This window comes from Homo sapiens, chromosome 11 (genome assembly GCF_000001405.40).
Source record: "Homo sapiens chromosome 11, GRCh38.p14 Primary Assembly".
In the NCBI taxonomy this organism is placed as follows: domain Eukaryota; kingdom Metazoa; phylum Chordata; class Mammalia; order Primates; family Hominidae; genus Homo; species Homo sapiens.
In genome coordinates this window covers 62,164,974-62,180,473 of record NC_000011.10, presented here as the reverse complement: position 1 = coordinate 62,180,473, position 15,500 = coordinate 62,164,974, and the positions used below count along the sequence as shown (strand labels likewise).

Here is a 15,500-nt window from a genome sequence, read left to right as displayed (position 1 = left end):
ACTATAAAAACTCTAAAAGAAAACCTAGGAAATACGATTCTAGACATAGGCCCTACCAAAGGTTTCGTGATGAAGATGGCAAAAGTAATTGCAAAAAAAAAAAAAAATTGACACATGGGACCTAGTTAAACTAAAGAGCTTCTGCACAACGAAATATACTATCATCAGAGTAAACAGACAATCTACAAAATGGAAGAAAATATTTGCACACTACGCATCCAACAAAGGTCTATCCAGAATCTAAAAGGAACTTAAACAAATTAACAAGCAAAAAACAAACAATCCCATTAAAAAGTTGGCAAAGGCCAGGCACAGTGGCTCATGCCTGTAATCCCCAGCAGTTTGAGAGGCCGACGTGGGAGGATCGCTTAAGCCTGGGAGGCTGAGGTTGCAGTTTGGAGCCATGACTGCAATTTGGAGCCATGACTGTGCCACTGCACTCCAGCCTGGGCAACAGGGCAAGACCCTGCCTAAAAACAAACAAACAAACAAACAAACAAAAACACAAAAAAAAGTTGGCAAAAGACATGAACAGACACTTCTCAAAAGAAGACATGCTCGTGGCCAACAAGCATACAAAAAATGCCCAACATCACTAATCATTAGAGAAATGCAAATCAAAGCCACAATGTGATACCGTCTTACACCAGTCAGAATGGCTATTACTAACAGATGCAGACAAGTTTGCAGAGAAATAGGAATGTTTGTACGCTGCTGGTGGGAATGTAAATTAGTTCAGCCATTGTGGAAAGCAGTTTGGAAATTTCTCAAAGAACTTAAAGCAGAACTACCATTCGACCCAGCAATCTCATTACTGGATATATACCCAAAGGAATATGAATTATTCTGCCCTAAAGACATATGCATGCATATGTTCATTGCCACACTATTCGCAATAGCAAAGGCCTGGAATTAACCTAGACGCCCATCAGCGGTGGACTGGGTAAAGAAAACGTGGTACATATAGACTGTGGAATACTATACATCCGTAAAAAAGAATGAGATCATGTTTTTTTGCAGCAATGAAGTTAGAGGCCATTATCCTAAACAAATTAACATTGAAACAGAAAATGAAATATTGCATGTTCTCACTTACAAGTGGGGGCTAAACATTGAATACATATGGACACAAAGAAGGGAACAAGAGATACCAGGGCCTACCTGAGGGTGGAGAGTGGGAGGAGGGTGAAGATTGAAAAACTACCTATTGGGTACTACGCTTATTACCTGATGATGAAATAATCTGTACACCAAACCCCCACGCCATGCAATTTACCCATATAGCAAACCTGGACATGTACCCTCTGAACCTAAAAAAAACAAAGTTGGAAAGAAAAAAAAAAGCCATCTATCATGGCTTTTAAATATTTCAACTGGAAACTTAGGGAGTACAGTAATAGATGCTGAATGAATTCCATCATCCATCGTTCTGGTGTCTGATAATTTTGTATTTTATTTTCCTTAAGAAAAAAATTACATAATATTAATTAGAAAATAAATAAATAATGAAACTGATGAGTTTATCAAGTTAGCTGAATAATGATCACCAATTTGGAAATGAATCACTTTCCTGTAAGCAGCTATTGCATTACATAACAGGAAAAAAATTATACCATCGACAATAGTAACGACAGTAGCAACAAAAATATACTGAAACATATGTATTGGAAATATACAAACTTTTAACAATAAAATCATGAAATTTTACGTGAAATTTACACAAAGATAAAAGGGAATCTAAACAAATGGAGACACACACCTTGTTCTGAAGCAAATTTTGGAAAATTTTAAGATGTCAACTATTCTCAATTATTCTACAAATTCAGGCAGCCCCCATCAGAATCCGAATAGGGTAGCTGTATGCTTTGTTTTGAATTCTGAAGTGGTGTTTGGAATATGAATTGTTCTCTGGATATATACCCAACTTGTGAGTTTTTCAGCTCGTTGCTTAGCCTTGCAGCCACAGTTTCCTCATCTGTAAAATAAGGTGATAAAAAAAGCATCTACCTCATAGGATTTGTATAAAGAATAAATGAATTAGTAAAGGAAAAGTACCCAGTACAGTGCCTAGCAGTAAATGTCAATGATTGCAATTATGTAACAACAAGGGGAGAGAAAGTCAAATAAAATAAATCACCTCAATCCCAAAGTAAAATATCAAACTAAATCTGAGTCTATTAATAAGGAATGTTTATTTATCCTATGCTACCAAAGTGTGCTTCAGAATCTGGCTTTGGTTTCATTGACATTTCTCACAGTTAAGATAATTACTCACATATGGTCAAGTCCAAGTGAATATCATTGTGCTGTTAATATCCTTAATGAATCTTGGACCAAAGGACATAGAAGGGTCGGAAGTTGGGTAAACATTACCAATCCCCAAGACACACAGAGTCTCTGGACTCCCGTCCTCAGCAGGATGTGCTGGTCGCAAGTGTCCTTTTGGCTGAGGTTATCATCCAAGGATATTCTAGGGACACAGTGTTCAAATTGATGAACACACACTTGGGGGATGGAGACTTTTAAGGGATCACTTTGAGATCCTCACATCATATAGGCTTTTACTATTTATGGATCATGTGGTCACATTGGTTCTCCTTCCTACCTCCCTTCCATAATCACTCTCGTTCCATTTCACTAAAGACAGAAGGCATATGCATCCTTCATCAGAATCTTAACACAGAGCATGGACTCTGCAGGTAGAAATCTCTAGACTTCAAAGAAACTATTTAAAGTATTGTTTTGTGATAACAACATTTTTTCCATATCAAGTGGTATCTAATTTATCGTTTTTAATAAACTCAAAGGAGGTCTTAATTTAGCAGTGGCTGATAAATCATTAAAAATAATGTTTAAAATAGGCAAAAGACCTTAATAGACCTAAGACTTAATAGACCTTAATAGACTGATCAGAGAAGTGCAAATCAAAACCACAATTAGGTCATACCTGTTAGAATGGCTATTACAAGTATTATCGAGGATGTGGAGAAAAGAAAACCTTTTACCCACTATTGGTGGAAATATAAATTAGTACGGTCATGAAAAACAGTATGGAGTTTCCTCAAAAAATTAAAAATAAAACAACCATATGATCCAGCAATCCTACCACAGAGTATACAATCATTCTTCTCTATACTCAGGGGATTGGTTCCAGGCACTCACCCCTTACATATATCAAAAACTGCACAAACTCATGTCCTGCATTCGGCCCTGTGGAACCCCTATATTCAAAAGGTCAGCCCTCCATATACACAAGTTTCACATGCCTCAAACACTGCATTTTCAACTGACATTTGGTTGAAAAAAGCGGTGTGTAAGTGGACCTGCACAGTTCAAACCCATGTTGCTCAAGGGTCAACCTTGTATGCAAAGGAAACAAAATCAGTATGTTCAAGAGACATCTACAATCCCATGCTTATTGCAGAACTATTTACAATAGCTAAGATATGGAATCAACCTCAGTGTTGAAAAGCAAATAAATGGATTTTTTTAATGTGGTATATGTACACAAAGAAATACTATTAGGTCATAAAAAAAGAATGAAATACTGTCATTTGTGACAACATGGATGACCCTGAAGAACATTATGTAAAGTGAAATAAGCCAGACACAGTAGATAAATAACACATGTTCTCACTCATAAGTGGAATCTAAAGTTTTTGATCTGGCCGGGCACAGTGGCTCACGCCTGTAATCCCAGCACTTCGGGAGGCCAAGGTGGGTGGATCACTTGAGGCTAGGAGTTCGAGACCAGCCTGGCCAACATGGTGAGACCCTGTTTCTACTAAAAATACAAAACTTAGCCGGGCTTGGTGACACGTGCCTGTAATCCCAGCTACTCGGGAGGCTGAGGCAGGAGAATCGCTTGAACCCAGGAGGCAGAGGTTGCAGTGAGCCCAGATTGCCCCACTGCACTCCAGCCTGGGCAACAGAGCAAGACTTCATTTCAAAAAAATTTAAAAATAAATAAATAAATAAAATAAAAATGTTGATCTCATAGAAGTAGAGAGTAGAACAGTGGTTACCAGATACTGGAGAGGGTACGGAATGGAAGAGAGAGGATGGAGAGCGGTTGGTCAACAGGTACAAAGTTACAATTAGGAAAAATGAGTTCTGATGTCCTATCACTCAGTGGGCGACTGTAGTTAATAATAACATATTGGGTATCTTAAAATAGCTAGAAGAGAAGATTTTGAATGTTCTCACCACAAAGAAATGATAAATGTTTGAGATGATGGATATGTTAATTACCCTGATTGATCATTATGCAATGTATACATTTATTAAAACATCACATTTTTGTATTAGGTGTCAATTAAAAATTAAAAATAATAATTTTGAGTGATAAATCACTATGTCATCTTTAGCCTATAGCTCAGAGGAATTCAGAGAACCAAGTGGTATCACTATCGCAATAGTCATTCTTTTCCCATCTGCCCATTTATGTAACAAGTATTTACAGATTTTACATCTTTGAAGATGAGAAACATGAATAAAATTGTCTCATTTTAGCAATAAAAAATATAATCCATGAATATACAAAATCAAAAAGGGCTTCATTAAGCCCTCAGCTTATTAAGAGATATATTAACATGTTACTTCATTTATTTAATGATTATCAAAAATTGAAATACATATGTCAGGTCATTAGTCAAAGCTTCAAGAATCTCTGCTGGTACCCAGGTCACCAATGTATCACATGTCACAAACTCCTTGCAGACCTCATACATACTCAGAATTCTTGCTGCAAGTTCTGAGTTGTAAGTCCCACAATATGGAAAAGGACCTCTGAAGTCGTTTCCTTCACTTTATTCACCAAATCTTGCCGTGATCAACTGGTCCTGTGCTGTCTAAATCCTTTACCTGTGTCATACCCTAGGAAGAAGAATAAAGGAAAGAAATCAGAAATTCTTAGTTTGGGGCCAGGTGCAGTAGTTCACGCCTGTAATCCCAGTTCTTTGGGAGGTTGAAGGGGGCAGATCGCTTAAGCCCAAGAGTTTGAGACCAGCCTGGGCAATATGGCAAGACCCTGTCTCTGCAAAAACAAACAAACAAAAAGTTTTAACTTAGACAGGTGTGGTGGCACTTGCCTGTAGGCCCATCTACTCAGGAGGCTGAGGTGGGAGAGTTGCTTGAGCCCAGGAGTTCAAGGATGCACTGAGGTACGATCATGCTGCTGCACTCCAGCCCAGGCAACAGAGCAAGAGTCCGTCTCAAAAAAAAAAGAAAAAAGAAAAGGAAAAGATTCTTAGTTTGTTCTTGAATTTTCCAAAATAATATTTTCTCACTGTATGCACTACCCTATTTGTTTTGTTTATTTGTTTGTTTGTTTGTTTTTGAGACAGAGTCTTACTCTGTTGCCCAGGCTGGAGTGCAGTGGTGCGATCTCAATCTCGGCTCACTGCAACCTCCACCTCCCGGGTTTGAGCAATTCTCGTGCCTCAGCCTCCCAAGTAGCTGGGATTACAGGCACACGCCACCACGCCAGGCTAATTTTTGTATTTTTAGTAGCGATCGGTTTTTACCATATTGGGCAGGCTCGTCTCGAACTCCCGACCTCAAGCAATCCGCCCACCTCAGCCTCCTAAAGTGCTGGGATTACAGGCATGAGCCACCGTGCCCAGCTGCACTACCCTACTTGTGCTGTTCATAATGCTGCAAACCAGTGCAGATACCATTTGGGACACCACCTAGAGTTTGGGGACCCTTCTTCATCCACCTTTAAATTGACTTCATACATCATCTCCCATTAGTGGAGTACATCCATAACCCAGATCTAAAGAGTACGTTCTCTGGATGGCCTGAAGCTTCTGGAAAGCAGGCACTTTTTAATCGTGATACCTTTTACCTCAGTAATACAATACAATTCCATAACTTTGTATTTGGAATTAACTTCAAACTCCAATCGATGTTGCAATGATATGTCTGTATAGCTTTACCCAATTCCATTTATTGTTGAGGGCTTATTCCATTTGCTTTAGTAATACAGTCTCCTTGGGGCAATTCTATTCAACAGAGACTCAGAACAAGGGTCTCATTTTACGGAATTTTCCAACGGGTATGCAAAGCCTCAGACATCAAATTACAACCATATATCCCACACCCTCCCCAGAGCTCTGACAAGGCTATATACAAATTCAGTGGCAAAACAGAGGTGACATAAACTATAGTGAACAGACTTTATGTGGCCTAAAACCCTCCTAATGTCTTGATGAACATGCAGGATGTGTTCAAATCAGCTGTGGGGCTCTGCTCCTGTGAAATCATCATGGCCCCAGGAGAGGTCCAGCAATTTTCCTCTGCAATAGAGCAGATTCTTGAAAGTCAAGGAGTTTTGGCCGGGCATGGTGGCTCACGCCTGCAATCCTAGCACTTTGGGAGGCCAAGGCGGGTGGATCACGAGGTCAGGAGTTTGAGACCAGCCTGGCCAACATAGTGAAACCCCGTCTCTACTATAAACACAAAAAAATTAGCTGGGTGGGGTAGCAGGCACCTGTAATCCTAGCTACTCGGGAAGCTGAGGCACGAGAATCGCTTGAACCCGGGAGGCAGAGGTTGCAGTGAGCTGAGATCGCGCCACTGCACTTCAGCCTGGGCAACAGAGTGATTCTTTGTCTCAAAATAAAAAAAGAAAGAAAGAGAGAGAGAAGAAGGAAGGAAGGAAGGAAGGAAGGAAGTCAATCAGTCAGTCAAGGAGTCTCCTTCATCCTAAGTTCCTGTCAAGGCTGACACCAACGTGAGGCTCTCTTCCAATACATCTCTTCTACCTGGGGAACTGATCTTACCTAAAGGAATGTCAGAGAAAGAACTGCCTGGCAGCGAAGTAAGCCAGGCCCTAACACCCTATCTTGACCATCCCCGCAGTTAGTAAGTCGTGCTGGACCTTGCTTGAGATACCTGCATCTCATGGTAAGTCTGTCCCACCTTGAAAACCAGAGACTTGAGAACGTCAAGCACAACCACATCAAAGGTACCACCCAAAGAAGGGGAGTCTGAGACCACCCAAAAGAGGCAGTTGGTATCCTCTGCAAAAACAGGTGCCACTTAGGATGATGAAAATCAGATTTTTTTTCATATTTAGCCTAGAAGGAAAAGGGGTTACCCCTTTGGCACCCATAATGAGTTGATGGCTTTTTTTTTTTAACAGAATTCTAGAAGAACTGCACAGAGAAGCAGACTGAATAACCCCAAGACTTGTAATGGACCAGCAAACTTCTGAACTCATACTCACCTAGGATCCTTGATAGCAATTATTTTTGCTTAATCTCACGGTTTTCTGCTGCCCACTGGGAAGACCCTTCTTCCCCAATAGTCCTTTGCACTGAAGGGAACAATAAAAACATTATGTGAAAAAAAACATATATTGCAGAAGAACAGAGCAAAGTGGTGTGAGGTCGCTGTCCACATCTCATTGTGTATTTCAACTCTCATCCTGCCTGTATTCAATTTCAATAATTATCCAAGACCTATCTTAAACCTAATTTCCTCTTTCTTTCCAAAAGCTCCTCTATCTGAAGGTTTTTTCTCCAGCACATGTTTGAACTTCAGTTTCCTCTCATCTTATTTCTCTGTAGATTTCATCCTATCTGCTCTCCATCCATCAGAAAAGCTTAAATATTTCTCATCAAATATTGTCACTTGCTTGTTTCCACTATACTGTAGAGTTTGCCACTTTGTTCTTTTGTTGTCATTTTAAGTTGTTATTTTTTTCAGATTTCTAAAGAGGATGGACAAGGATTAAACTCATGCTCATCCTGTGTTCTTTATCCGGTCTCAAGTGATGCGTTTTATTTGTTGACTTCCATTACGGTCAGGTGCTTGACTGACAGATAACTGTGACGATCATGGGCTTGTGATGGCAAAGGGCAGGGGTTTTTTTTTTTTTAAGCAACTGTAACTCCCTCTAAATCTCCTTTTGACATTTGCTTCTGTAATAGAAATGCTAATCTTTCTAGATGTGTGGTAGTGACAAAGAGGAAAATAATCCAGGGAAGGGAATTGGAGCAACAGCAGGGAAAGAAGTTCCAGTATTATTTCTTGTTTTGTTTTGTTTTCAGACAGAGTCTTGCTCTGTTGCCAGGCTGCAGTGCAGTGGCGTGATTTTGGCTCACTGCAATCTCCGCCTCCCAGGTTCAACCGATTCCCCTGCCTCAGTCTCCCGAGTAGCTGGGACTACAGGCAGGCGCCATCGTGCCCAGCTAATTTACTTTTTGTATTTTAGAAGAGACGGGGTTTCACCATGCTGGCCAGGATGGTCTCGATCTCCTGACCTCATGATCTGCCTGCCTCAGCCTCCCAAAGTGCTGGGATTACAGACATGAGCCACCACGCCCGGCCCCAGTATTGTTTAAGTAAGAAAGCTAATCCAGCTTTTCGTAATCCAGGGTAAAATTTGTCTATCTGTGGGACACCACTAACAGGATGCCCTGATGCCTCCCCAGGTTCAACAGGGAAGAGGCGGGCAGGCAGACAAGTAAAATTAAGGATTTGGGGTCCAGATATATTTTCCCATCTCTGGGTTATATGGACTGTGTGAGCTTGGAAAAGCCATTTAATCTTTTTAAGTCTCAGTAAATAAAGACTACACTTTCTTTACGTGAAAGTCAGTAGAATTAAATAATAGTATGTGTGAAAAACCCTCAGCTGTGCTGAGACGATCCCTTTAACATGAACCATCCAGTCAGTCTCATCCCGCTCCAAATAAGGCACTTTGGAGTCATCTTCACTTCCCTTCTAGTTTTATCCTTCAAATCTTCCTTTTCATCCCACACACCACAAACACAGTCGCAGCTACCCCCTTCTTTCCCTCTGTCCTTGATAGACAACCCCTAATCTCATTTCTTCTCAGCTTCTGTCTCCTTGGTAAGAAATCTGACGAGATAAATAGTATATACACCTGCTAGGATAACGCACAGTCCTCTCAAGAAGAAACGACCCTGTCAGTTGTTTTGACCTTATGCAAACACGAGTGAAACTTGTATTTCATTGTGTTCACTTTGAGAACGGCATCCAGGAACGGAACGCAAGGGCTCCTGCTAGTGACGGATGGTCTATTTCAAGTGTTCAGAGATTCCAGACTCTACATGAAATGGCGCCACCTTGAGGCTCAAACCTTATTGTTGGCGTTCAATTTAAGAAAAACTCATCAGACATCTCCTACTACAGGCCAGCCTTTGGTAATTAAAAGAATAAAACGGGCCGGGCGCTGTGGCTCACGCCTGTCATCCCAGCACTTTGGGAGGCCGAGGCGGGTGGATCACCGAGGTCAGGAGTTCGAGACCAGCCTGACCAACATGGTGAAACCCTGTCTCTACTAAAAATACAAAAATTAGCCAGGCCTGATGGCGCGCGCCTATAATCCCAGCTACTCTGGAGGCTGAGGCAGGAGAATCGCTTGAGCCTGGGAGGCAGAGGTTGCAGTGAGACGAGATCGCACCACTGCACTCCAGCCTGGGTGATAGAGCCAGACCCCGTCTCAAAAAACAAACAAACAAAAAAAACAAAACAAAACAAAAGAAAGAAAGAAAGAAAAAAAAAATGGCCACGTAAACCAACCTATACATAGGAGGCTTTTTGGAGGACATGATGAAGAGGTGAAGAAAGAAAGTACCTAGGCTGAAGGAACAGTCTAACCTCCAGCTACCTGGCATAGAGTCAGTGCAGAAGAAGACCTGATGGGAACTCAGCAGAGTGGACTCCTAGGAAGAGGGTGAGAACTGCAACCAGGTGAACCAAGACTAGGGAAACTGCTTCTGATTATGCACAGGGGATAAGATCCAGCCCCTGGGGAGCGGTGGTTAACAACAAGTACACATCATGTAAGTGCCCCGGGCACCCCTTAGTGCAAGGGGAGCTATAATTCTACCAGAACACTCTGGATGTATACATATGTTCACACAAGACCTTCCTTGTGGATTAAGACAATATAACAGCAATTTGAGAAAGAAGGTGGCTCAGGGGACACTATCCCACACAGTGCAGACAGGAAATTCTGAGCGGTTTATCATTTGGTCAGTAGGAAGTCATCAGGAAGTCATCAGAAAGTCATGAAAGTCTAGAATCAGTGGCTTGCTCACCAGCTGTAAAGGAGACAGTCATGAGTTAGGGATCAATAATTGGTAATTATCAGAGATCAATAATTAGTAATTTGACAGAGATTTACCAGGGAGGAATCAAAATTCCCCACCTCTGAAGGGTGGCGGGGGGATATTTTTACTGTGTCTCAAGATCCTGCTGGCTCCTTTAAGCCATATGTGACATATTAATCATCTTTCCACATACAAACATGCACTTGAATGACCCCTCTAGAGTCATTTAAGGACAGGCTAGGGCCATTTTTAATATGCTAAAGAACAGAGCACTTTCCCAGGCTTAGGGACTGTGGATGGTCCCAGAGACTCCAATGGTCCAGGAAGTGGAAAGTCCTCACCCATGACACTTACTTTCCTCCCAGGACTGGAGGGCAAAAGAGGAAAACAAGAAAAATATGGAGAAAATATGAAGAAAAAACAAAAGAATGTGACAATTCTTGTTCCCAATTTTGAAACAACTTCACATATTCCTTAAAACAAAGATGACAACATAAAACTATAAAAAGGTATCAAAAACCTCACAATAAGGCTTTTCTAATTACTGGGGGAAATGGCAGCCATTCCTCCCGCAGCTGTGCTGCCTCCTCGTCCTCCTCCTCATTGTTGCTGCCAAAAAGGTCAATGTCATTGCCCTTGTCATCCTCTGCTGGTGTGGTTGGCTTCTTGGCCAGGGCTCCACTTGGCACATGGGAGACACGTGCTGGGTCTGAGGGACTGTGGCCCGGTGGCCAGCAGAGCTCTTCTCCAGCACGTTCAGCTGGGCCTCCAGCCTGGACATGGCCTGCTGCAGCTCCTGCACCACGCTGCTCAGCCTCTGGTTCTCCACTTCCAGACTGGCGATCAGGACAACAAGCTCGCTGTGTTCTCCGTTGGGGCCGCTGGAGACCCTGGGGCCTGAGCTTCTGGCCAGGGATTTCTGGATGTTCTCTCTGGCTCTCGCAATGTCATGGAGGATCACGCTGGCGCCATTCTTCTGGCGGGAGGTGCTGGCCACAGGCCCGTTCATTTGCTCGTACAATCTCCTTTCTGCAATGTCATATTTGAACTTGTCAAACCAGATCTTCTCATATACTGAGAAGTTTGTAGCCATTTTTCTGATGCCAGCCAAGGACTCAGCAACGAGGGAGGAGGAATCGGTGGACGTGGGACGCCTGAGGCAAGAGAACAGAAGACTTAATGTTGTTAAGATGTCAATACTACCCAAAGATTCAATGCAATCCCTATCAAAATCCCAAAAATGGTTTTTCCAGAAATAGAAAAAACAATTATAAAATCCATATGGAATATCAAGGAACCCCAAATAGTGAAAGCAATCTTGAAAAGACGGAACAAAGCTGGAGAACTTGCTACAAAGTGACAGTAATCAAAACAATGTGGTACTGGCATAAAGACAGCCATGTAGACCAATGGAATAAAATAGAAAGGCCAGAAATAGAGTAAAAATAGAGTTACCACATGATCCAGCAATTCCCCTTCAGGGTATACACAAAATAATTGAAAGCAGAGTCTCAAAAAAAGATTTGTACATCCATGTTCACAGCAGCATTATTCACAATAAAACACAGAAGCAACCCAAGTGTCCATCAACAGACACATGAATAATCAAAATATAGTACATACATACAAGGGAATATTATCTAGCCTTAAAAAGGAAGGAAAACTACATGCTACAACATGAATAAATCTTGAAGACATGTTAAGTGCAATAAGTCAGTTACATAAAAAAAGACAAATAACGTATGATTCCACTTATATGTATGTAAAATAGTCAAAATCATAGAAACAGAGAGTAGAATGGTGATTGCCAGGGGACGGGGGAGGGAGGAATAGGAAATTATTGTTTAATGGGTATAACTTTTCAGTTTTGCAAGATGAAAAGCACTCTGGAGATAGATGGCAGTAATGGTTGCACAAAATTACAAAATGTATTTAATACCACTGATATATACATTTTAAAATTATTTAAAAAAACGATTAAGATGGTAATTTTCATGTTTTGTGTATTTTACTGCAATAAAAGAATTGAACAAAGTAATGGCAATATTTTTTTCATGTGACAGCTTTTCACTTAGAGGGCAGGGCTTTTCCAAACAAATTAAAGTTATTAGGCAAGCCTGTGTGTCTTGGAGACTTTATTATTTTGTTTGTTTTAATAAATACAGACAGGGTCTTGTTATGTCACTCAGGCTGGTCTCAAACTGTGCCCGCCATTCTTTAGAAATTTTGGGAAATACAGGGTTGGGTGCAATGGCTCATGCCTGTAATCCCAGCACTTTGGGAAGCTGAGGCAGGGGGATCACTTGAGCCCAGGGGTTGGAGACCAGCCTCAGTGACATAGTGAGACCTCATCTCTACAAAAAATCAAAAAAATGAGGCAGGAAGATTGCTTGAGCCTGGGAGGTTGAGGCCACAACGAGCCGTGATCATGCCCCTGCATTCCCGCCTGGGCAACTGAAGTGAAACCCTGTCTCTAAATAAATAAATAAAATAAATTTGGGGAAATAAAGAAAAGCCCATAGAAGTCACCCATATACAACCAGTGTTAACTTGCTGGGCTCATGGGGTCAAGTCTTTTCCCATCCATCCAGACACAGATACCTGGATATCAGCATCTTGCTGCACAGGTGGGCTCATGCTCTGTGTGCATTGTTCCCTGGACAAGGCACAATGGCCATTCCCCCATCATGATAAATGTGCCTAACTCTTTTCTTCCCACCTCCATGTGCAAAAAGGTAGTTGAGTCAAGCAAAGCTTCTTTGAGGGCTCCAGAGCTGACTTCCCAGCTGCTACTGGTCCTTTTGGGTCCTCTCCCAGTGTTGAGACTCCTGATTTCAAGGACCCTGATTTCAAGGGTGCTGATTTTGAGGGTCTGAAGAAGTTCAAAGAGGAGGTGGATATCCAGCCAGCTAAGCAGAAAACAGCAACAGTCAACGGTAGTGAGCCCCTCTCTGCCCTTCTCTCTAACAGTGACATCCTGAGTCAGGGCTCAGTCCTGGGCAGAACGAGAGTCCTGGGCAGTTCCCAAGAGGAACTGGCCTGGAGGCCCAAAGGGCGGGATATCCACTTCACTGTGCCTTATCAATGTGCAGCTCAGGTATGAGAATCTGGTCATTAGGGCCTGACCAGTAAAGTTCCCAATATCCAAAGTTACAGAGCCCCGAAAGTCCCCCAGCTGCCTAGAGGTGCTTAGCAAAAAGTAAAAATAATACAACTCTGTGTTTGACCCTCACGTACTCTACAGCTCCTTTGGCCACTCCCTTTCTCTGCCAAACCCCAGGACCCTGTGTACCCCTGCTGTTCTCCCTGTCCCACCAGATCTCCCCTGGCCTCACAGGAACCTGACAAAAGGGAAGTGAGACAGGACAGATATGAAGAAAATGTGAAGTGATGGTTATTTTACACCTAGGCATCAAGAGACACAGTCGTTTGCTCAGCAGGTGGGATTTCTCCACATAGGCGGCAAGGAGAAACAATGCCGGGGTCCAGCATCAGAGACAAAGCTGGCAGAATTCACCTGCCCAGACCCCTCCTGCCTCCTGTTTCCCATTGGCCAAAGTTCACCCCATGAACTTCAATTCCCTGCACTTCTGGGACATGTCATCTGTACAGCTCCATCAGTGATACCAGATCCCACGTCCTGCGGCCAGGGACCAGAAACCCCGGGTGGGAAATAGCAGTCTGGGAGAGGGCCCTACTTTGCCAGGGCAAGGACTGGGAAGTCCCCACTGGCATCAGAAAAGTCTGGGTGCTTTTGGCCAACAAGAGGCAATGGAGGGAAGCCTCTTAACATTTCTGATGTCTTGACATGCGTCGTAGCAGGCTTGCCTTAGAGCAACACCTTCGAAGTCCAGTGGAGCTTCCTGCCCGACTGCACACTCCACACAACCTTGGGCTTGAGGTTGCTTTAACTCTTTGAGTGTCACTTTCCAGAGACTTAAAATGAAGATGAAGATAATATCACCCCTCAATCAGCAAATGCGATTGAAGGTTATGGCCAACGCAACTCAACTCGCCCAGTGCCTCACACACAGTAGGCACTTTGCGATTAAAGGTTGTCATCCATATTCCCAGACTATTCCCCGGGAAGTGGTTAGACAGAGCTGGACAACAAACCCCATCTCCTTGGCCCTGACACAGGGAGTGGCAAAAGGAGCTGTAGAGTCCACATCAGGGCCAAACACAGATTTTTATTATTTTTATTTTTTGCTAAGTGACTCCAGGCAGGTGGCGGACAATTAGGGGAGGTCCCTGTTGTAATTCCCAGCCCTGCCCTCCTACCCGAGGAATGAGAGAGGATTCCCTGCATTGCAGTCTGCATGTTGACCTCATGTAGACTAACACGCCTTAGTCTACTGGAGGGAGACAGAGAACACCCTGCATTCTCTGCCCGAGTCACTCTCCTCAATCTGCTTCAGTAGAACGTGAGACACAACTGTTGAAGGCCAGCAGCCCCTGGTCCCGAGCGCGGCAGTGCCACAGTGGATGCTCTCCCACCTGAGCCCTCGGACTGGGCCTCAGTGGGTCCTGCTCCCACAAGTGTCACTGTCTCAATCCGGAGAGTGGAGCTCGTAGGAACAGGACCTCATTGCCACATTTTCTTGGCCCCTTTCATTAAAAACACTGCAATCACCTTCATGGTAAGGCTCCTCCCTGTGGAGGTCTCCTACAGAAGTAGGTGAGGACTGGTTGCTGGGATTGAAGAGAGTGGCATGGTAGCTGAGGATAATAAGGGGTACTGGGGTAAGACGGAGAGGTTTGGGGGCCACACAAGTTGTCCATCTAGGGAACGTAGAGGTCACCTAGATCAAGCCAGTGTTGCCCAAGTAGCAAAAAAAAAGAAAAAAGAAAAAAAAAGTCTGGTCTTTTTTAGCCCCGAGAGGTGTCTTTGATGAAATTCTGACCAGATGAAGCCACCATCACTGCCCTGGGCTTACACATTACCTACATACCCTAAATCAATCACTGTCTGTTTTCTGTCTTTCTCTAAGCCATAGAGCCTGCTCTCTATCTGTTAAGTCTAGGGCCATCACAAACATGCAAACAATGACACTGTAAGATAACTTGGGCCAGGTGCAGTCACTCAAGCCTGTAATCCCAGCACTTTGGGAGGCGGAGGGTAGGTAGATCACCTGAGGTCAGGAGTTCGAGACCAGCCTGGCCGACAAACATGGAGAAACCCCATCTCTACTGAAAACACAAAAATTAGCCAGGCATGGTGGCGGATGCCTGTAAGCCCAGCTACTCGGGAGGCTGAGGCAGGAGAATAGCTTGAACTCAGGAGGCAGAGGTTGCAGTGAGCCGAGATCATGCCACTGCACTCCAGCCTGGGTGACAGAGCGAGACTCCTTCTCAAAAAACAAACAAACAAACTAACAAAACAAAACAAAACAAAACAAAACAAAAAACACC

At 43.1% G+C, this 15,500-nt stretch overlaps 1 pseudogene, besides 1 other annotated feature; it reads right to left on the bottom strand.

Moving 5' to 3' along the window:
- Positions 4,864–5,043: a silencer, noted in NCBI's record as "fragment chr11:61942903-61943082 (GRCh37/hg19 assembly coordinates)". NCBI's record gives its function as "represses an EF-1alpha promoter that drives an FKBP-Casp9 reporter gene in an ReSE screen in K562 erythroleukemia cells {active_cell/tissue: K562}" and the evidence as "EXISTENCE:reporter gene assay evidence [ECO:0000049][PMID:32094911]".
- On the bottom strand, positions 10,647–11,255 carry EEF1DP8 (eukaryotic translation elongation factor 1 delta pseudogene 8; annotated as a pseudogene).